This window comes from Homo sapiens, chromosome 3 (genome assembly GCF_000001405.40).
Source record: "Homo sapiens chromosome 3, GRCh38.p14 Primary Assembly".
Taxonomy (NCBI): Eukaryota; Metazoa; Chordata; class Mammalia; order Primates; family Hominidae; genus Homo; species Homo sapiens.
In genome coordinates, this window is record NC_000003.12 from 11,530,573 (window position 1) to 11,553,312 (window position 22,740).

At 49.9% G+C, this 22,740-nt stretch overlaps 1 protein-coding gene across 13 annotated transcripts in view, besides 4 other annotated features; it reads left to right on the top strand.

Annotated features, from left to right (window-relative positions):
• Positions 1 to 22,740, top strand: part of ATG7 (autophagy related 7) — a 303,957-nt gene that overhangs the window by 258,176 nt on the left and 23,041 nt on the right. The window lies entirely within an intron of this gene.
• Positions 2,533 to 3,033: an enhancer, noted in NCBI's record as "H3K4me1 hESC enhancer chr3:11574579-11575079 (GRCh37/hg19 assembly coordinates)". NCBI's record gives its function as "activates a minimal SCP1, AML or CMV promoter by ChIP-STARR-seq in naive H9 embryonic stem cells {active_cell/tissue: H9 hESC(naive)}" and the evidence as "EXISTENCE:reporter gene assay evidence [ECO:0000049][PMID:30033119]".
• Positions 14,437 to 15,004: an enhancer, noted in NCBI's record as "H3K27ac-H3K4me1 hESC enhancer chr3:11586483-11587050 (GRCh37/hg19 assembly coordinates)". NCBI's record gives its function as "activates a minimal SCP1, AML or CMV promoter by ChIP-STARR-seq in naive H9 embryonic stem cells {active_cell/tissue: H9 hESC(naive)}" and the evidence as "EXISTENCE:reporter gene assay evidence [ECO:0000049][PMID:30033119]".
• Positions 15,781 to 16,282: an enhancer, noted in NCBI's record as "H3K4me1 hESC enhancer chr3:11587827-11588328 (GRCh37/hg19 assembly coordinates)". NCBI's record gives its function as "activates a minimal SCP1, AML or CMV promoter by ChIP-STARR-seq in naive H9 embryonic stem cells {active_cell/tissue: H9 hESC(naive)}" and the evidence as "EXISTENCE:reporter gene assay evidence [ECO:0000049][PMID:30033119]".
• Positions 16,283 to 16,782: an enhancer, noted in NCBI's record as "H3K4me1 hESC enhancer chr3:11588329-11588828 (GRCh37/hg19 assembly coordinates)". NCBI's record gives its function as "activates a minimal SCP1, AML or CMV promoter by ChIP-STARR-seq in naive H9 embryonic stem cells {active_cell/tissue: H9 hESC(naive)}" and the evidence as "EXISTENCE:reporter gene assay evidence [ECO:0000049][PMID:30033119]".

Below are 22,740 nucleotides of genomic sequence, written 5' to 3' on the forward strand. Positions count from 1 at the left end.
GAATCCCCTCCTCTGAGACCAACCGCTGTTGCCCTCCTGACCCCACCCTCCAGCAGTGACCCCCACTGAGCCAGTATCTTTCTCTCTTCAATCCTTCTTAATAATAAATAATAATTTCCACGTTCTACCTTTAAAATGAAGCCTGAGCCTGTAATCCCAGCACTTTGGGAGGCTGAGTCAGGCAGATCACTTGAGGTCAGGAGTTCGAGACCAGCCTGGTCAACATGGTGAAACCTTGTCTCTACTAAAAATACAAAAATTAGCCAGGCGTGATGGTGCACACCTGTAATCACAGCTACTTGGGAGGCTGAGGCAACGGTGTTGCTTGCCCCTGGGAGGCAGAGGTTGCAGTGAGCCAAGGTCACGCCACTGCACTCCAGCCTGGGTGACAGAGTGATACTCTATCTCGGAAAATAATAATAATAAAATGAAGACTGCCTTCCTCACTCACCGTGGTCCTGGCTAAGTGTCTGCTCACCACAGGACTATGGAGTCGGCAGAGCGGGCTTCTTGCCTCTCTGGCTGGTTGGCAGGGAAGGGCTGAGGCACAGAGAAGTTATTCTCCTGCCTGGTGCTGTCAGCAGTAGGTACAGAGTCAAGACTAAAACCCCGTTGTTCTGCCCCAGGTCTGGCAGTCTAGAAGAAGGGGGGGCTGTGCAGGGTACCCAGCCAAGGCAGAGTCCAGAGGAAGTCAAGGAAGAGTATGAATGTGAGTGTGGGGCAGGGAGCACTGTGCATTAGCCTGAGAGGTGGGGGGCACAGAGGAACAGGTCACTTAATGCTTGGCACTTAGGTCTGAGCCTGTTTATGAATGCACTGGGGTGCAACCCACCTGGCAAGGCAAAGCACCTTCCTGAGGTCCCACCACCCCCTGTGTGCCAGTCCATTACTGGCTGGCATTAGGGTGCTCACCTCTCTGTAGATTTCCTTAAGCCCAAGGGGCAATCACATGGTCCGCAAGTCTGCATATTGGTTTGCACTAAACTCTACCCTGACAACATACCATAAAAATGGTCTAGGCCAGGTGCAATGGCTCATGCCTATAATCCAGCACTTTGGGATGCCAAGGGAGTTGGATTGCCTGAGCCCAAGAGTTTGAGACCAGCCTGGGCAACATGGCAAAACCCTGTCTTTGCAAAAAATTAGCCAGGCATGATGGCACATGTCCGTAGTCCCAGCTACTCGGGAGGCTGAGGTGGGAGGATCACCTGAGCCCAGGAGGTTGAGGCTGCAGTGAGCCCAGATCCTACCACTGCACTTCAGCCTGGGTGACAAGAGTGAGACCCTGTCTCAGGAAAAAAAAAAAAAAAAAAAAAGTCTAATAACAGAGCAGCTAACATTTATTGAGTGCTTACTGTGTGCCAAGCACTGCGCTAAACACTTTGTTGGCATCATTTTATCAAATTTCTCCCAGAATCTTCTCTTAGAAAATGATTAGTTGTTTTGACTTAGAAACTAAAATATTGGATTTTATTCCTCCTCCTCCTCTTCCTCCTCTCCCCTCCGCCCCACACGCCACCCTGTAAGGGACTGTGGGGCGCTGCAGGGCTGGGGTTCTTGCCCCCAAGGTTCCTAAGAGTCAAAAGAAGATTTGCTCATTCAACAAGCGTGTATTGAGTATGATTTCTGATTTGTTGAGCATTTATTGATGCAATGCACCACATGAGATGCTGCAGACACAAAACTAATGCATACTCGCTGATCTCAAGGAGCCGGCACACATCATCTGCAAGGGACAAACCGGAAGTGTTGTGTGCTATGGCCCAAAACAGAGGAGGAAACGGAGGAGGACAGAGCTGAGTCTGGAAAGAGGAGGTGGAGGCAGAGAGAGGGAGATGGAATCAGTGGTGAGGAACACAGGCTTCTCAGGCTGGGTGCAGTGCCTCATGCCTGTAATCCCAGTGCTTTGGGAGGCCAAGGTAGGAGGATTGCTTGAGCCCAGGAGTTAGAGACCAGCCTGGGCAACATGGCAACGTCCTGTCCGTTCATAAAATTCAAAAATTAGCCAGGTGTGGTGGTGCGCACCTGTGGTTTCAGCTACTCAAGAGGCTGAGGCAGGAACACTGCTTGAGTCCCCAAGGCCGAGGCTACAGTGAGTCATGACTGTGCCACTGCACTCCAGTCTAGGTGACAGAGTGAGACCTGTCGTAAAAAACGAAACAACACCAGCTTCTCTCCCAAGAAATGAGGTTAACAATAACACCATCTCCCCTTGTGGCAAGGATGGGTCTAGATACTGCATGAGATGTCGTTAGCATGGTGCCTGAAATGCAATCAGCAGTTGGTAAAAATGAATTATTTTGTTGAGAGTTAAAAGTGCTTTGGAGGAGGACCTGAGTCTTGTTATCTTTGCACCACCCCAGCCCCCAGAGTCAGCACTGCCTCACATGAACACCGTGCCCCAGGATGCTAGCTAGTAAGGTGTCACAGACAGGGTGGCGAGGAGAAGCAAGCCCCAGCCTGAGCGGGAATGACTGGAGGAAAGGTCAGAGACAGAGCAGCCCGGAGGTGCGCTGGTGCGCAGAGCAGACAGTGGAGGGTTCAGTGGGCAGTGCTCTTCACCCCGGGTCTGAATAATGCCCGGGGCTTGGGAGGCCCCTTTGGCTGGGCACTTTCTCAGGGTGGCCATGCTGAGCTGCTGACCCCCAAGCCCTCCTCTCCAGCTCCCTTTCATCATCACCGTGAGTGTTCATTTAAACTCAGCAAGACCCATGCCAACAAAAACAAAGAAAATGATCTCTTAGTGGTTATTTATATGGTAAACCTCCTCTGGGGTGATTTTTTTTCCAGTCCAGCTTGCAATAATTTCTTAAGAAAGATAAAGTGATTTTTAAGTGTAATTTTAAGGAGCAGGCCCATACGTTAGCTTGCTTGCTGTTATTCTTCTGTTCATGTTGTTCACAACATGAACTTTGATTTGTCTTCTCCAGGTAGTTTGGGACCACAGAGAAAAATCCCCCTTCTGTTAAAAAAAAAAAAAAAAAGCCATTACACAAATACTTGAAAGCAGAAACTCTTCTCTGAAATCTTCTCTGAAATGACGAAAAACTCATTAAAAACTGCTTCCTGAGAAGGTAGAACAGATGCAAGGGAACACATGGAGCTGATTCTTTAAAGATGTTATTTTTTGAAGCCACAGTTGTTATTTCTTTTCTGTTAGCCAAAATGTAGCCTTACATTTTGAACTTAGCACCTCATATTTATCAGCAGAGAAACAGAAAAGAGTAAAACAAAAGAAACTAGAAGCAGAAAACTCTGAATTGTTTATAAAATGGGCTTTAAAAATACTTATTAAGAGAATGAACCATGCTTTCCTATTTTGCTCTTAAAAATTTAAGCACTTTCAAGTGATGGCTGATTAAAAAAACTTGGAGCGCATCTTGAGGCCCAGGTTTCCCACCATCAGAAATGTGCAGCCACAAAGGAAAAGTCCAGAATTTCAGCACTTGTGAGCCGTGCCACTGTCAGAGTTGGAAAAGTACTAGCCAGCAGAAAGCCTCCTCCTCCCCCCCCAGGGGAAAGCTGCCAGCCTATCCAGTTGGCACAGCCATGCCCCTTTGCCCAGGGCTTGTCACCTGCACACACAGATGAGGATGTTCAATCTGAATGAGAAAGGAACTGGAGATTCCAGCAGCACCCTAGGTCTAGGAGTGAAAAGCTCCCAGAGTCTTAGCACTGTGCCCTTCTGCCGCAAGCTGGACTGAGTCGATTCTGCGGCAGCAGGCAGATGCCCGTTCTGCAAAGGCATCTATATTTAGGTAGGGACACCAGCTTGCCAAGGTAAAGAAGGGCATGATGGGCGTCGCCTCAGAATGCTGTTGGTCTTGGAACAGAGGCCCTCAGCATCTGTCCTCACATCTTCTGCTCACAGGCAGGTCCTGTGTTGCCCTGTGGGTTAGACATGCTCATGGAGGAGAGGACACCTCCCCAGAGCCAAGGCGGTCTGGAACGCATCAGGGTTCTTCCTGAATGTGCGTCCTTCATGCCGGGTGGCTACGTGCCGCCAGGCAGGGACTGCATACTGCGGTTTCGTAGTCGCTGTGCTAAGGGGAGCTGCCACACGCCGTCTGTTAGCAGGACATGGAGTTGGGCCCCAAATGGCCCTAGTGGTGTCAAAAGCAGATGTCTTCAACCCACAGTGGGACGCTGCTCCCTCCCAGCGCAGCCTGGTAGGCCTCTTGACCACCTGGGGGGAGTCACTGTCTGCCTCGAGGCACCTGGCCACTTTGGGACTGCACAGCACCCCTTCTACCCTAGGGAGGAGTAGCTCAGCTCAGCTCTTCTTCCCCAGGCTCAGCCCAATGCGCTTCAGGCCCACGTAGGCGCAGCCCTGCTGCGGAGGCGCCTCTGCCTTTCCCTTTGTGACTTCCTGGCAGAAGCCTCCACTCCAGCTGCAATTCAGTGCTCATCTTGCACATTCTCATCCCAAGGTCTTTGCTCCCTTAATGGCCCCAGCTGTATGGTCCTATCCCTGCCCTTGCGGGTCACCTCCTCAGGAAATCTGTAAAGGCCCAGCGGATTCTTCCTAAGATGTGTTGCTTGGGGGCCCCCCTTGAGGCTGACATTTCTGCTGGAATATTTCATCCTTCGGGGCCTGGACCCGGGCCATGCCCTGCTGAGCCTTAGCTGAGTGCCCAGCCCTTTGCCCCCTCTAGCTCAGGCCAGTCTTTGCACCCCTTCATCAGACACCCTGCCTGGTGTCATCTGAGGTGTCCTTTACCTGCCTGGCTGGACTGAAGGCTCTCAGAGGGAAAGGCCATCTCGTGTTACTCATCTCTGTCTCCCAGTGGCACCCAGCATGGTGCCCAAGTCCCTGTGGAGGAACCCTGGCTTTTGTGATTCTCAAAGTCTTCTGCGTCGGCCCTCCCTGAGCAGGTTTGTATGGCAATCACAGGGGCCAGGCAGGTCTCAGAGCAGGCTCTCTTTGATGGATTAGGGGGAGGTGGTGACAGTGGGACAGTAGCCCTGCCTGGGGACTCTCAGGCCAGTGAACCGAGGGGACAGCTACAAGCCCTACAGGAGGACTCAGCTCTTCAGCAGTGGACTTGACTGATGATTGACAGATGAGGCACACAGGGTCCCTCTGAGGAGGGCTCGGCCCTCTCTCTTTTCAACCAGGCTCCTTGGTAAAGAAGCGGGGGCGTGCGCTGGGGGGAGAACCTTGTGTTCTCAGTCTTAGGAGAGCTGTTCTCAATTCCCGCCTTCCCAAGAGCCCTCTGGGGCATTTCAGAACTCCCGTGGACCTGCCAGCTTCGCACCCTTGCTTGAATGGTGAAGCATATCAGTCCTTTTTAAAGAGTGTCTGCAGATCCCCTAAAACAGGAGCCCCAAAGCTTATGCTCCTTAGCAGAGAAAAGATGATTCCATGTGGGATGACGCAGCGTTGCCTGCCAAACCAGCCATCAGGCCATCCAGTGCAGCTGTGGGCCCAGGAGCCCCCCAACTGCTGGGGCCTCCATCTCCATGGGTTCTAAAGGAAAGGGGCCTCATAACTGGCTAGTTGGGGCAAGGAGACCACCCTCCCAGCCCAGCCAGGCTGTTTTCTCAGGGCTGGTCTGTGAGGGGGAGGAATTAGAAAGGACTGCCCCCGGGCCAGGGGAGTGGGATTGGAGGAGAACCGAGAGGTTTTCAGTAGATTGAGAGGCTCATTAGGGGTGAACTAGGTAGCCAAAGAAACATCTTTAAGAACTGCAGTTACTGAATACAGCCCCTCATCAGCGCTGAGGTTGGTCCACTTAACCTTTGGTCCACTTAACCTTGCTATCAATGTGGGCTCAGGGAATGTGCCTGCCAGGACAGGAAGACAGCCTTGGGCTACCGGCTCCACCTGGCCAGCGCCCTGTTCCCACAGCAGGACCAGCTCCTTCCTAACTGCTTTTGTTTTGTCCTGGGACAGAGCCTGGATTTTGGGTTAAGTTTGTGCCTTCCAGGCTGGGGAAGAAGCCAAAACTTCTGTTTCCCATGCAAAACGCCACCACACACCTAGGGAGGATGTTTGTGTTCCACGGAGGTCGCCACCCATCTGTTTTCAGAGTAAACGTTTGTGTGAGCGCACTCTGGCGGGGAGTCCCGAGAGCGGACCCTCTTGCCACTGCACCCATAGGTGCGGAACGAACCTGCTGCCCCGACCCTGCGGCTCCGACCGGGGCCGAGCAGCGAAGGACCACCCTGGTCTGGTCACCTACGATTCTGGGTCCAGCTCAGCTGGTGACCTTGCTTAGGCCACACCCCTCTCTGAGCCTCCATCTTCCCTTCAGCAGCTGTGTAGGGTGAACTTAATGTTGTGCAAGATCATGTCCAGCTCTGGAATTTTAGGATTATGAGCTTATTTACGATCAGCCTGTTGATTCTACCTCTAAAATATAATCTGAACCCGTATACTCCCCTCCATGTCTCCTGGTACTCCATGATCTTGTCGCTTCCTGCCCGAGTTCTGCAGTTTAGAATAAACCCAGGCCCCTCTCCGCGGACCCTCTGATGGCAGACCTCCATCCCTCTGCACAGGGCCTCACCCACCCAGCCACGTGCTCTGCTGTCAGCCCCCCGGAGCCCCTGGGATCTTTGCACCTGCTGTTTTCTCCGTAGAGAGCTGCCCTCCCTCCACTCCTGGACGGGCTGGCTCCTTCCTTCCTTCCCATCTTTCAGAGCTCAGCTTCAAGTGTTGGCTCCACTGAGAGGCCTTACCCCCAAGTCCCTTTCTAAAAGAACTGTTCCTCCATCATTCCACCTCTCACCCCATTTTTTTCCTATATTTTGTAGCTCTTTCCTTGGGTGGATCTGGTTTTGTGTTAGTCTCTTGTCACCTCCACTAGGCAGGGACCTCCCAGGGCAGGGACGGACGCACCTGTCCCAGTCATGGCTGATCAGCGAGAGCCAAACATATCATAGCACATGGGGTACTGTAGGTGTTCAAAGGATGCTGGCTGAATGGATGGAGACTTCCTTCATAGAGCCCCATTTTCCTTCCTGATTTCTTAGTCTCAGTTCCCATTTTCTCTCAAAGATCCAGGGGTCACAATGAGAGTGATTATAAAACAAACTACACATGCAACACGAACTCCTCAGTCAATCCCAAGAGGGCTCTCACTCCACACTTCATCATCTGCCCTGTGACCTCAGATTAAAACTCAGGCTTAACATTTCCTGAGGCCCTGCTCGGTGCCAGGTTCTGGGTCTGTGCTTTCCAGTTGTTTTATGTATCCTTGATAACCTCTGTATGGTTGGTGGTAAAATGGAGAGATGTATTTTCCTGCGGGGAAACTGAGTCCTGAGAAACGAGCTAGCCCACAGAGAGCTGGTGGCTGGTAGAGCCCGGATCCAAAATTGGGAGCGTCTTGCCCCAAGTCCAGTGCTGTTTCCTTTATACCCAATGCCACAGAGCCAAAGTGGTACCTGGCCGAGATCTGGCCCTGAATGTAGAAGAGGCCAGGGAAAGGTGGAGGGAAGAGGGCATAGGTCCCAGTGTGGGATTCCAGATGACCCCTGTTGTCCAGCTGGCTAGGAGATATGTGGACCCCAGGGCTGACAGATGTTCCTGAGGGCCACAGGGAACCTGACGGAAGGTTGGTGGCATTTCTAGAGGCAAGTGGTCAGAGAGAGCATGGGGGTTTTGTGGGGACTGGGAATAACCGAGGGCCTCGTGGCAGGCTGGGTGGCACTGCCCTCTCAACGCTGACCTGTCAGCTGGTTCAGGAAGGCCTTTCTGAGGCCAGCACAGACTCTATCACACCATGGACCTTCAAGGGATAGCTCTCTTGGCAAAACACCCTTTTGCCAGACCTAATTGCCAGAAGCTGCAGTGGAAATGAGAACCCAGGACATGGGACGAGACAGACCTATGTGTGGATCTCAGCTCTGCCATTTGCTAGCTGTGTGGCCCTGACAGTCACCTGCCTTGTGAGCTCTGAGTTCCTTAAGTGTAAAAATGCCATGGTATGGTAGAGAGGAAAGAGACTCATATTTGAATATGACACAGAATAGGCCCTTAGTGCCAGCCTCAGGGGCTCACACCTGTAATCCCAGCACTTTGGGAGGCCAAGGCAGGCAGGTTGCTGAAGCCCAGGAGTTCGAGACCACCCTGGTCAGTGTGATGAAACTCCGTCTCTAAAAAAAAAAAAAAAAAAAAAAAAAAAAATTAGCCAAAAAAAAAAAAAAAGCCAGATGTGGTGGTGCAGGCCTGTGGTTGCAGCTACCCAGGAGGCTAAGATGGGAGGATCACCTGAGCCTGGGAAGGTCGAGGCTGCAGTGAGCTATGATTGTGCCACTGCACACATACTGGGCAACAGAGTGAGACTCTTGTCTCAAAAAAAAAGAAAAAGAAAAAGCCCTTAGTAATTCTTGAGAATGAGTGACTGAAGGAAGGAATGGACACCTACCTAAGATGTCCTCCTGGAAGAGAGCATGGAGAAGGGATCTGAGCTTCTTGCTATTTTCAATGTGAAAAGCTTTAATCTGGCTGTAATACAAGGTCGATTACCCACAGCTTCCAAGAACTTACCACAAAATGTTAATGATATCAACTGAGATTTTTTTTTTTCAGGTTGTAAAGTTGTGTTCTCCATCATTGTAAGCAAGTAACAACACAGATGATGTGTACCCTGCATCAGGTGCAGTTCTGAGCACTTTATGCCCACTAACTCATTTCATGGTCACAACAGCCCTACGAGGGAGACAGCATTTTTGTCCTCATTTCTCAGATGAGAACACAGAGGCACAAAGAGATTAAATAAATAGCCTGAGGTGACATAGCTAGTCAGTGGCAGAGCAGGACCCAATCCTGGAAGTCTGGCTTCAGAGACAGAGCTCTTAACTCCACCTGATAGTGATTAATGGCTATAGCAGAATCAGATCAGGGTAAGAGAAGGCATGGCACTGAGCCGGGGAGGCCAGGGAAGGTTGGGCTGGAAGGATTCTGTTCTCCTTAAAATGGTTGGGAAATAAGACCTCTAACTAAATGAGTGGGAGACTGCGTTGGTGCTTTAGGGGAAGTGGGCCTGCTGGCGGGGGGTCGCCCACTTTCCACCTTTGGTGGTTCTGAAAAAGACACGGTATTTCTCTTATGACATTTTTGGTAATTATTGTAAATATGTTTTTATATTGTGAAACTCCCCCCGTCTTAAGCTATATTCGTTTTCTCTTATGAATTTAAAAAATAAAATCTATTGATGCGCATACAATCAAATATATGTAAAAGTGCACATTTCTGAGCTTTGAGAAACGTACTCGCTTGTGGAACCAGCACAGTTCGGCGACATCGAGCAGGTCTGTCTGGCCTGTCCTGCCCTGCACAGCCGCCTGGAGGTTCACCTGCATCATTGCGTGTGTCAGCGCTTGGTGCCTTTCTGTCGCTGAGTAGCGTCTCGCTGTGTGAGTGTACCAGAATTGTTTACTCACTCACCTGGTGAGCTGTTCTTGGGTTGTTTCTAGTTTGGAGCTGTTATAAATGAAGCTCTGATGAGTGAGTGTGTTTTCACTTCTCTTGGGAGATTATCTAGGACTAGAATTGCTGGGTCCTATGGTGGAAGTGTATGTTTAACTTTTAAGAAACTGTTATTTTTCAAATTCACTGTGTCGTTTTTGCTGTTGCCACCAGCAGAGTTTGAGAGTTCTGGTTGTGCCATGTGCTTGTCAGCACTTGGAAGCTGGTAGTCCTTTTCATTCTGGCCATTTGAGTAGATATGCAAGTGGCATCTCATTATGGCTTTTATTGTAGTTCTCTGATGACAACATCTTTCCCGCATCTCTGATGGGGAACATCTTTTCATGTATTTATTTGCCACCTGTAGATCTTCTTATGTGACCCTTCTTTCAAATCTTTTGCCCATGTTTCCATCGGGTTGTTATATCTTATTGAACTGTAAGAGTTCTTCCACCCTGAGCAACATGGCAAGACCCTATCTCTATAAAAAATAAAAATAAATTCACTGGGCATGGTGGTGCGCACCTGTGGTCCCAGCTACTCAGGAGGCTGAGGTGGGAGGATCCCTTGAGACCAAGAGGTGAAGGCTGCAGTGAGCAGTGATCGCACCACTGTCCTCCAGCTAGGGCAACACAGTGACACCCCATCTCAAAAAAAAAAAGTCTTATATTTTCTAGACATGAGTTTTTTGGTCAGATATTGGTATTGCATATATTTTCTCAATGTCTTTGGCTTGCCTTTTCATTTTCTTGATGTTGTCTTTAAGAGAGGAAAAGTTTTGAATTCTGAAGTTCAGTTAATAATTTTTTTCTCTTACAGTTCCTGCTTTTAGTGTCCTAAGAAATCTTTGCCTATGTCCAAAGTCTTACTGATTTTTCTTTTTTTTTCCTAAAAAATTTATAGTTTTAGCTTTTTTTGGGGGGGGGAGGGGGGGAGTCTTGCTCTGTCGCCCAGGCTGGAGTGCAGTGGTGCAATCTTGGCTCACTGCAAGCTCCGCCTCCCAGGTTCACGCCATTCTCCTGCCTCAGCCTCCCAAGTAGCTGGGACTACAGGTGCCCACCACCACACCTGGCTAATTTTTTTGTATTTTTAGTAGAGACGGGGTTTCACCATGTTAGCCAGGATGGTCTCGATCTCCTGACTTCGTGATCCGCCCGCCTCGGCCTCCCAAAGTGCTGGGATTACAGGCGTGAGCCATCGCGCCCGGCTGGTTTTAGCTTTTACATATATGTTTGTGATTGATTTCAAGTTAATTTCATGTAGGGTATGAGTTAAGGGTGAAAGTTCATTTTTCTCTATGTGGTTATCTAATTGTTCCAGCAATGTTTGTTGAAAAGATTGTCCTTTCTCGTCAAATTACTGTGCCACCTTTGTTGAAAGTCACCTGCCCGTGTTTGTGGGTCTGTTTCTACCTCTGTATTCCTGGTTATCCTCATCTCAGTACCAAACTATCTGCTGCCTGAAGCTTTATAGAGTCAGTGGGTCAGTGTCTGCCTTGTTACTTGGTCTCCGATGGTCCGGCCCAGTGGCAGAGGATGTCACCTTGCCAGCACATGCCTCCCTAGGATTGGATCATGCCCCTCTCCTGAGAAGCCATGTCACCTGCATTTGCATTATTTGAAGGTGCAAGATGTCCCTTCTCACCAAGTGAAGTTGGTGTGTTTATATCCTGCGTCCTCCCCACCTCACCCTGGAACTCTGAGCTCTCCAGTTTTCCTCCTCCTCTTCTCCCTCTCTCTGATGTTGACCCCAAAAGCCCTTTGAGGTAGAGAACAAACATGTAAAAGTGCCTGCCTTTTTAAAGGGAAACTTTTCAAAAACTTTTCTAAGGAACTGGAAATAAGAACTACGTAACAGAAACCATTTCACAACCTTCAGCATGGCCATTTATCTCAATAACCATTTCGTTTAAAATGTGGGCCAAACATATAAATCATATCTTGAAAGAAAGCATGTGGGTGCCACAAAAATCACCCTGTATTCTTACCATCTAATTTTAAAAATGTGTTTCGAAGCCTGGAAAAAGGCAAACAAGCCTGGGGCCCGTGCCCTCCTCCCACAGGGCCAGGGATGCAGCGGAGAGGCTGGAGCACTGGACAGCATACCCCGTTGCTAGCCATTCGCGTCAGCGACAGGAGCCACTGCTCTTGAAACCTCCCTCCTCTGCATGTCACTTGGTAGATCAGGAGCTGAGAGCCCCAAAACCAGTCTGCTTCTAACCAGTGCTTGGACAAGCCCTTGCACTTAGGCAGTAAACACTCCAGGAGAGATCGTGTAGATATTGGTGCTTATTTAGCGACATCCCCAGAGGGAGGGTGCCAAATATAGCGGGACCCTGAGGTCCATTTTCCAGACTAATAAGAGGGGGAGACCTAGAGCAGCCTGTCGCTGTGGGCTGGGAATTCCAGAGTCTTCTGCCGGAAACCTCACTAAGGATTGCAAGGCTAAGATGTCAGCATTTCCTCTTGGCAGGTTTCATATTTGCTTCTTAGCACTTCCTGGGAGGGAAAAACAAAAGACACCGGCAGATGTACCTTGCCATGGGCCATGGCCCTTCCTGTGGCCCGTGTACCTCTCACCTGGGTCCCTGGAGACACCAGTATCCCCACTGCTACACTGACCCTTTTTTCTCATCTGGTCTTCCATATTTCCTCTTTCCCAGCCTAGTAGCTGCTCTCAACCACCCTCTGCTTCCCTCTTGCTCCTCCTTTAAGATGACAGTCCCCTGGGCATCCTCCCGGGCACCCCCTCCCGGGCGTCAGGTCTCTGTTTCCAGCCTGGGCTCTGTTCTTGGGAGTGAAGAAGGTGACGTTTGGAACGGCTGAGCATAACCTGTGCCTCAAGTGTAGCTCGGAGGTGCTGACCTTCCTCTGGGTCTAGGTTCTGAGGCATGAGACTGTTCCTTCAGACTCCTAGCTCCTTGTCAGTTGCAGCCCTGAGCATCTTTGTAGGGGGAGTGGGGAGGATTTGGGGGATGGAATGCCTCTGGAGGTGGCATGCCAGCCCACACGTGTGCACAGGCCTGGTCTGCTGCCCCCCTCCCTGGAGGTGCCTTTAATCAGCTGCACAGGCCACAGTTAGATGGCGGCGTCCTCCAACCGACCCCACGGTGCAGGAGCAGCCCCACCCTGCCAACATGAAACCTGTCGTTTTCTCCTTTTAATCTCCTCATCCCTGGCTGCCCGATGTTCCTTGTGTAAGTCACGCTTTACATCTTACCAGCCGCCTTGGCCATGACTGTCTTTGTAGTAGAACCTTAACCTTGTTCCTGGAACCCCGGAGCAGTGGGTGTCATGGGGCAGTGCACGTGCTCTCTGGACTGGCAGCAGGGGGCTGGGGTTGGAAAGGCTGGGAGAACTCCTCCCTCAGAAGACTAGAAGTAGCCCCCACAGTTCTGTTTCCTTCTTGCTCCCATCTTCCCCCCTGCCTCAGCCCTCAGCTGCCTGTGTCTGGAGAGCTGAGTTTGGGGCAATGGTTCCCTGAGAAGAGGGGTTTGGTCTTAATTCCTCTGCCAAGTCTGGTGCCCAGGCTCGAGGAGGCAGTGAGTGCTTAGAGTACAAGAGTGGGAAGGCAGGCGGGTGTCTTTCCAAAGGGAGGCACCGGGGTGGTGTGTTAGGAGGAGCACAAGGCTGGCCGCGGTGGCTCATGCCTGTACTCCCAGTGCTTTGGGAGACTGAGGTGGGCGGATCACCTGAGGTCAGGAGTTGGAGACCAGCCTGGCCAACATGGTGAAACCCCATCTCTACTAAAAATACCAAAAAATTAGCTAGGCGTGGTGGCGCACGCCTGTTATCCCGGCTACTCAGGAGGCTGAGGCACGAGAATTGCTTGAACCGCGGACCTCTGGGGACGGGAGGGGGAGGACCCATTTCATCTCTGCTGAAGGATGGTGACAGGCTGGGGATGGAGGGTGGGCAGGGGCAAGGGCTGGGGCTGCTGGCAGCAGACATCAAGGGCACCCAAGTCCCTACAGGGCATGAACCATCAGCCCCAGGCTGGCCTCACCATCTGCTCTGGCCTTCCCTGCTTTGTGCAGTCTGCCTGCTCCCTTCCCTCTTGGTTCACTCCTTCAGGCTGCTCATCTGCCCGCACCAGCAGTCTGAAGCAGTCACACCGGCCATCCTTGGCCCAGGGGTGAAGGGATCTGGGAGCTTTTGCTTCTGGATTCATTGTGAGAGTAGGCAGGGCTAATTCTGAGTTGCCCCAGGTCCCCATGCTGCGATGGGGCTCCGGGCAGGAATCTGGGAGCCAGGAAGTCAGACCCTGGGCCTTCACCCGGCAGCACTTCCCTGTGGCCCTCTCCAGGGCCCAGGTATGGCTGCAAAAGCAGACCTGGGTCCAGCAAGGGAAATGGTTAACCCGTGAGGCCCCCCATCTGCAGAGCCCCACAGCTACTGCCTTGCAGAGCACCCTTTTTCTGACCAGCCCCAATCCTGCCTGGGGCCTCTTAGAGTCCAGAAGCAAGAAGTACCCACCGCTGTGTGTCCCTGTGGCCTCTGGCCCAGAGCCAACCCACAGTGAGGCCAGGAAGGGGAATGAGGGCGTCAGTGGCCTGGGACCCAGACTTCCCTCAGAAAGCTGGCCTGCCACCCCAGCTGCTCCCGCCTGGGGATGCTCACAGTGCTTGCCCCCGCCCACCCCTGTCCTTCTGGGCCCTGGAGTCCAAGGGCCTGACGTGCTGGAGTCCTCAGAAGCCAGCTGGGCCGAGGGGCCCGCCCTTGACTGTGTGTGTCTCAGGTATTATGGTCACACCAAAAATCCCCCTTTCTTTTCTGCCCTATGGAATCATATCCAGAACAGATGGTTCTGAATCATTGTTCCTGCAAAGCCTCTCTACTAGACCAGGCTCTGAGCCGGGGCTGGGGATACAGTGGTGACCAGACAGACCAGGCCCTACCCTCACGCAGCACGCAGTCCCCTGGGGAAGTCAGATGCACAGACTACAAGGTGACAGCAAATTATGGTGGGGTCGCAGGAGGAACCAAGAGGGCTGAGAATAAGGTAGGCCAGCAGGGAAGTCGCTGCAGACCCAGCGGAGCCAGCTGTGTGGGAGGGGCTGCGGAGAGGAGCTTTCTAAGCCAAAGAAGCCTGTGAAAAGGCTGAGCAAGGGGAGAGCCAGGAGGCTGCGGCCGCTGGAATCTGGTGGGCCAGAGAGAGGGTGCCGGGGTGGGGAGCTTGGAGGGGTGTGCAGGGCCAGGGCTGGGGGCCTAGGGCCCTGAAGAGTTTGGACTTCACTCTCCCTCTGTGCAAGGGGAAGATTTTGAAGGCTGCAAAACTTGGGAAAGATGATGGGATTGTTTTTTTGAGAAATTCAGTCTGATGCCCTGTGGGTGGAACAGTGCCAGAGGCTTATGGACACCCCAGAAGAACCACGGTGACGGATACCTGTGGGGACAACAGATCCTTCTCTTGTGGGCATCGAGAGCCTGCGCAGTGACCCTGGAGCGAGCCCTGCCTCCCATCCTCGGCTCCCGGCTGGAGAGTCTCCACGGCCTGCAGCCGCTCCTTCCTCTCTGCTCTTTCCTGCCCCTGCCAGGCCACCTCCCTGTCTCTTCTTGTCCATAAACCTGACCTAGGACTTCACGGACCAAGCCCTAACCCACAGCCTTCTGGCCTTGGCAGCCCCGCCAGCCCTGTCCCCTCTCTGGGCCTCGGGGCTGTGCTTGGGCTCCGTGTCCCGAGCAGCCCTGCCAGGCCTAGCTCTCCTGGGCGTGTGTCTCTCTGTTGTCAGCCCCCCTGGCGGTTCTTCCTTGGAATCATCTTCTGGATGTCCCCTCTCCTTTTTCTCCTCTAGTCCCTGTAGCCACCCCCTGGCAGTGCTCAGTAAGGGCTAGCAAACTAGCAGCCTCCTGCAGAAGAAGTGGGGGTTAGCACCCCCATACCCCCATTGTTTCCCGGAGGCATTTTGGGAGGCCAAGCCAGAGGATTGCTTAAGCCTAGGAGTTTAAGACCAGCCTGGGCAACATAGGGAGACCCCATCTCCACAAAATATAAAAAATTAGCTGGTTGTGGTGGCATATGCCTGTAGTCCCAACTACTAAGGAGGCTGAGGTAGGAGGATTGCTTGAGCCTGGGAGGTCAAGGCTGCAGTGAGTTATAGATGGCACCACACTCCAGCCTGGGTGACAGAGTGAGGCCCTGTCTCAAAAAGTAAAGAAATGCCAAAACTGGATTTTTTTTTTTTTTTTTTTTTTTTTTTGAGATGGAGTCCTGCTCTGTCACCCAGGCTGGAGTGCAGTGGCGTAATCTCGGTTCACTGCAACCTCTTCCTTCCGGGTTCAAGCAATTTTCCTGCCTCAGCCTCCCGAGTAGCTGGGATTACAAGCACATGCCACCATGCCCAGCTAAGTTTTGTATTTTTAGTAGAGAGGGGGTTTTGCCATGTTGGCCAAGCTGGTCTCGAACTCCTGACCTCAGGTGATCCGCCTGACTTGGCTTCCCAAAATGTTGGGATTACAGGCGTGAGCCACTGCGCCCAGCCTTATTTTAAATGTTTACATTTAACAAATGAACGCTTTTAACGGACACACAGAAATATAATTGTGCCATTCCCAAGGTAATTACAGTGTTTATAAAAGAAGAACCTTAGTTCATGGCATGCTTCAGGCAGTGTGGTCCAGAAATGGGACCCAAGTTTGAAATTGGATGATGAGGGCTCCTTTCAAACTCGTCTGTCTCCTTTGGAGAGAGTTAAACCTCAAGGCCCTTTGGGTGTGTGTGGTCCAGGCTGAGCCTTCTCCCTCATTCCTTGTGATGGGCCCAATTGAAAGGTCCCTCTTCCCCTAATGCAGAGTGGCAGCCCATCCCTGCCCTCTTCCATTGCAGGGCAGCGGCCAGTGGGGAGCGCTGAGGTGCTCAGGTCAGGCTGACCAGAGGGGCTGAGCCCACCCTTGCCAGCGGAGAGCAGCACAGGCTGATGCCATCCTCTCCCTAACTGTCCAAGCCATGGGCTCTGCCTTCTGAACTGGGTCATACCAAGGTGGGGACTTGGGAGCCAGGTCAGGAGCTGGCCTGTCCTTTCGGCTGCCCAGGTTTATTCATGGTGCTGGTGGGTGTGTGCTGTTGCTCTTGGGCACCTATTGTGCATTTGCGTGACAGGCGGTGAATGGAAGAGTGTCTGGGGCCCAGAGGGCAGAATCAGAGACTGTCCTTAATCGTCTTTAGAGGGAATTATGTTTAACAGGAAGTAGTGAGAGAAAGTGGAAAAGGCCTCTTCCTTCGCCCTTGCTAGCTTGGTCTCCTTGACAAGTTCTGCTGTTTTCTCTGTGCTTCAGTCCCCTACTTTGTAAAATGGGGGCAAACATGTGACACCATTGTCCTCAGGGCTGCCGGGAAGAGAGTGGAGGCAGGGGTTTGAGTGACATTCCCCTGTGTGGACAGACCACGTTTCATTTATTCATCAGTTGGTGGAAACTGGATTGTTTCCACTCGTTTCCTATTATGAATTCCACGTTTAACTTTTATGAATACTTTCCTATGAATACTACTGTGTTTGTGTACAAGTTTTTATGTGGACACGTTGTCATTTCTCTTGGGCAGTTACCTAGGACTGGAATTGTTGTACCATATGGTAACTGTGTTTAATTTTTGGGGTAAACTGCCAGCTGTTTTTTATGAGGTGGCTGAACCATTTCACATTTCCAGCAGCAACGTATGAAGGTTCTAGTTTGTCCACATCCTTGTCAACACTTACTATGATCTGGCTTTTTCACTGCAGCCATCCTAGTGGGTGTGAAGTGGTAGCTTATGGTTTTGATTCACATTTTCCTGATGACTAATTATGTTTGAGTATCATTTCATGTGCTTCTTAGCAATTTGTGTCTTTTTCTGGAGAAATGTCTATCCAACATCTTTGCCCCTTTTTTTGTTTTGTTTTGTTTTTGAAACAGGGTCTTGCTGGAGTGTAAGTGGCATGGTCATGGCTCACTGTAGCCTTGACCTCCTGGGCTCAAGGGATCCTCCCACCTCAGCCTCCAGAGTAGCTGGGACTATAGGTGTGCACCACCACACCCAACTAGTTTTTAAATTTTTTTGATAGAGACAGGATTTCCCTGTGTTTTCCAGGCTGGTCTTGAACTCCTGGGCTCAAGTGACCTTCCCACCTTGGCCTCCCAAAGTGCTGAAATTACAGGCATGAGCCACCACGCTTGGACTTTTGCCACATTTTTAAATTGTGTTTTCTTTTTATTATTGCGTTGTAAATGGCCTTTGTATTTTTTCTTTAATTTCTTAAAGATGGGGTCTCACTATGTTGCCCAGGCTGGTCTCAAACTCCTGTCTTTATATATTCTAGATACAAGTCTCTTATCAGATACATGATGTGCAATTATTTTCTCTCATTCTGTGGCTATCTTTTCTCTTTCTTAATAGTGTCCTTGGAAGCACAAAAATTTTAAATTTTGACTAACTCCAGTTTACTTATTTTGTTGTTGCTTGTATTTTTGGTTTCCTTTTTTAGTCTTTAAAATATATAAGATATATGATTCAAAATTAAAAGGCATGCTCAGAGCAGTCTCGCCTTCATCCCCACCTGCCCTCTATAGGGAGGCATTTAAATTAATTTCTCCTTTTATCGTTCCTGTGTTTATATTTGCAAAATTAAAAACCTTTTTTTCTTAAACAAAGGTGGTATGCTACAGATACTCTGCATTTCTTTCTTCTTTTCTTTCACTAAAGAAATCCCGGAACTGAGCCCCCGTATCAGCCGATTGAACTCACTGTGTTTCAGGGCCACAGTAGTCCAGGTGTGGATGTGCATCAAATGGTTTAGTCAGCTGGTTCCCCGCTGAGGGCCTCTTGGGCCTGTTCCCAGTCTTTTCCTGTAAGAGATCATGCAGCAGGGGATAATATCCTTTCGTATAGTGGAGGTGTGTCTTCAGGACAGACTCCTAAAAGTGAGACGGCCGGGTCAAAAGTTAAGCCGTAGGAATCGTGGCTGTTGCCAGATTGTCCTCTGCAGGGGTTGGACTGCTCTGTGTGTCACCAGGGAGGTATGAGAGTGGTTCCACCACAGGCTCACAAACAGAACATATTGTGAAGCAGTGAGGTTCTTGCCAGCGTTATCTCAGTGCAGCTTTTTTTTTTTCAATCAGCTGTATTGTGTGATTTACATACAATGAAATACACCCACTTTAAGTGTCCAGTTTGTTGAGTTGTGACAAATTATCTACTTCCTGTCACCACAGATGGGTTTTTGCCCTTGTAGGATTTCATATAAATGAAATATGAAGTATGATGTCTTCTGTGTTAGGGTTGTTTTCTTAAAAACTGTATATATTCAAAGTGTGTAAGGTATCTTTATATCACATAGTGAAATGGTTACTACAGTCAAGGAAATTAACACATCTGTGAACTCCCATAGCATGTGGTGAGAGCACCTAAAATCTACTCTTAGCAAATTTCCAGTGTACAGTCCAGCATGATTAACAGTAGTCCTGTGCTGTATATCAGACCTCCAGACTATTCATACTACGTAACTGCCACCTTGTACCCCTCGTACCCTTCGACCCCATTCCCCACCCCTTCCAGTTGGGCTTCCTTGACCCAGGATAAAGACACTGAGATTCATATGTGTTGTCGCACCCATCAGTAGTTTAATGGCTTAGGAGTATCCACTGTACGGATACACCACAATTTCTCTGCTTTCCCGTTGATGATCATTTGTGTGGTTTCTAGTTTGTACCTATTCTGAGTAAGACTGCTGCGGACATTCTGGCTCAAGTTTTTCTGTGGACATGTGTTTTCGTTTCTTTGGAGTAAACAGGAGTGGAATGGCTGGATCACATGGTGAGCGCACACTTAAACAGTCACTAGACCTTCCTCCAAAGTGGTTTTGCCAGTTTCCATCCCCACTAGGAGCAGTGTGTGGGCCCTTCCTGCCCCACATCCTCACAGACATCGGGCATCGCTGGCCTTTAGCTTCAGCTCTCCGAGGAGGTGGGGTGCACTGTCTCTTTATGGTTTTGATTTGCATTTCCCTGAGGACTGCAAACTGCACGTCTTTTCTTATTTGCCATTATATTTCCTCTTTGGTGAAGTTTCTCTTCCAATCTTTTCCCCAAAAATCAAGTTTTTGTCTCTTTATTATTAAGTTGTAAGAGTTCTCTTTATTTTCTAAATACAAGTTCTTTTAATATAGAGATATTTTCTCCTAGTCTGCAACTTGCCTTTTCATTTTCTCAGTGGTATCCTTCCAAGATCAGAAATTTTAATTCTTGTGAAATGCAAACCCATTTTTTTTTCTGGTTAGTACTTTTTGTGTCTTAAGAAACCTTTGCATTTCCTTTATTATGAGTAGGGCTGTGCATCTTTTTTTTTCTGTTTAAGGGCCATTTGCTTATTTTTTCTGAGAACTGGCCGTGTCTTTGTCCACTTTTTAAAAATTTGGTCTATTGGTCTTTCTCTTCTTGAATTTTATTTATTTCTTTGAGACAGGGTCTCACTCTCTGTTGCCCAGGCTGGAGTGCAGTGGTGCAGTCACAGCTCACTGCGGCCTCTACCTCCCAAGCTCACACCATCCTCCTATCTCCTGAGTTGCTGGGACTACAGACACATGCCACTATGCCTGGCTCATTTTTAAAAAATTATTGTAGAGAAAGGGTCTCCTTATGTTGCCCAGGCTGGTCTTGAACTCCTGGGCTCAAGTGATCCTCCCGCCTCAGCCTCCCAAAGTGCTGGGATTATAGGCATGCCTGGCCTCTCTTCTTGATTTCTAAGAGCTCTTTGTCTATTACCGAGATGAGCCCTTTATGGTATGTTGTTATGTTTTCTCTCAGTTTGCCTTTTTGACTGTTTTCCCGTGCATATTGCATGCATGTGTTTTTGCAGAGTCCAGTGTATCCATTTTTTTATTGCTTATGGATTTGGGATCATAGGCCTTCCCTACTCCCAGGCTATAATGAGCTTACCCGTGTTTGTATCTAGTATTCTTATGGTTTCATTTTCTCTAACGTTTGGATTTTTATCCCATTTGGAGTTGATTCTAACATGCGGGGTAAGGCATGGAATCAATTTTATCTTTTTCCAAGTGACTCTCTACTTCTCTTCATATCAGTTTTTTAAAAAGTCTATCTTTTCGTAATGAGCCGAGATGGCACTCCCCAGGCCATTATCATTAAAATCCTTGATTTCCACATGTTCTTGGACATGGTCTTCTCGTTTCTGTACTCGTCGTGTCCTGCGGGCCGTCTGAGTGTTCCGTGCTGACGCACCCTCTCCTCCTCGGGGGTTTCATGGCGTCTCCCTCGGCCCATGGTGGGGGCTTCTCACCGCTCTTCTGTTCGGAGGGTTTCCTGGGTGTGTCTGCTTCCTGTTTTTCCACATAGCCTAGAACCAGCTCGCCCGGCTCCAGAAAACATTTGTTAACTTTGAAAATTGAGACTTTGTTAATGTATTCACTTTGAGAAAGCTGACATCTTTATGGATGTTGAATCGTCCTATGCAGAAACAAGGGGTGTGGCTCTATCTACTCCAGTTTACGTCTTTCCAGGAGAGATTCTTCTAGGACTGTCGCAGCTGTTTTAGAGGCTTCATATGGATTCTGTACATCCGATGTTAGGTTTATTCCCATGTGTTTAGCTTTTTCACTGCTTTTATAATTTTTTTTAAAGTTTTTATTTTTATAGAGAGAGGGTCTTGCTCTATTGTCCAGGCTGGTCTCAAACTCCTGGCCTCAAGCAGTCCACTCGCCTCAGCCTCCCAAAGTGCTGGGATTACAGGCACGAGCCGCTGTGCCCAGCCAATATAATGGGTTCTTTTCTTTTCTTTTTTTTTTCTCGAGGCAGGGTCTCACCCTGTCGCCCAGGCTGGAGTATAGTGGTGCGATCTCAGCTCACTACAACTTCTACCTCCTGAGTTCAAGCCATTCTCCTGCCTCAGCCTCCCAAGTAGCTGGGACTACAGGTGCCCACCACCACGCCTGGCTAATTTTTGGATTTTTAGTAGAGACGGGGTTTCACCATGTTGGCCAGGCTGGTCTCGAACTCCTGACCTCAAGTGATCCACCCGCCTTGGCCTCCCGAAGTGCTGGGATTACAGGCGTGCGCCACCACGCCCGGCCTCTTTCATTCTGTTTTGAACTAAACATTGTTTGCACTGCATGTGGTGGGTTATAATTGGTTGTTGTCAATTTTATATCTTGCTCTTACTAAATACTTTTTCATTTGTATTCTAAGGATATCTTAGCACTTATTTTATTGGGGTTTCCAGGTGTGCTTTGATATTACCTACAAAGAGATCATTTTTCCTTAGGGTTGAATGTTTTTAAAGGTTTGTATTACATATTGCCAAATCTTTTAAAAAATATGGTACCAATTTATACTTCTCTTGTGGCAGTGTTTTGCCATACCCTTGTCGGCACTGAGTATTGATATTTTTTAAAATGTGCCAGTTTACTATGATCTTCACTAAGAGGACATTCACTGTGCCCCTTCTCCACACCAGTTGCACTGCCAAGGACACAGCTGCGGTGAGGACACAGTAGAGCCTGCAGATCCCAGCCCCCAGTCCCACTCCAGTCCCTGTCCCTATCCCCAGGAGTCCCTGTTCTGGTTATTTCTTGAGGTTTCAAATGAAGATGGCTGCTGCCCTCTGAGCCCAGCCAATGGGACGAAGCCAGTGGAGAGCCCGTCCCTGCCCCAGAGATTCGCTCTGGAAAATCCCTGAGTGGTTTTGTAAAATGCATTTTACAAAATAATAATCCCCGCACAATAAGTCTTCTGGGTGTCTCGCAGGATCCCCTGCACAGCTCAGGCACTGCCAGCAGCCGCATCCCCTCGAGTGGCTCAATCTGTCCAGGAGCAAGGGGTCAGCCAGGCACCTTCCAGGGCCAGTCCCAGGCCACCCAGTCCCAGTGTGGCTGAGCACCTATGCCTCTTCCCCATAGCTAAAAACCCAGTAAAATGGATGATAAAATGGGTAACACCTCCCTGAAAGTTTCTACTTTCCTATAAAGCCCAGCCCCGGCCCAGGCCCGAGTCCTCTTATGAACAGAACAACCCCAACCACCCATTTGCAGAGGGCACTGCTGTTTGGTACTGACCCTGCCCTGCCCAGGCTGGCAGCCCTCCAAGGAGGCTGGGCAGGAGGTCCCGGAGGACACGGCCCACAATGCTCACCCTTTTCATTCTCCATCTTGCCCCATCACCTCCCACCTCGGCCCCTTCCTCCAGGCAGCCCGCCCCGCCCTTTTCCACACACCCCTGGTTCCCAGCACTGAAGCTTGCTTGCTGTGTGATCTCAGGCCAATTGCCTTACCTCTCTGGGCTTGTTTCCATCTTCACCTCACAGGTAGATGTGAGGTCACCTCACAGGTAGATGTGAGG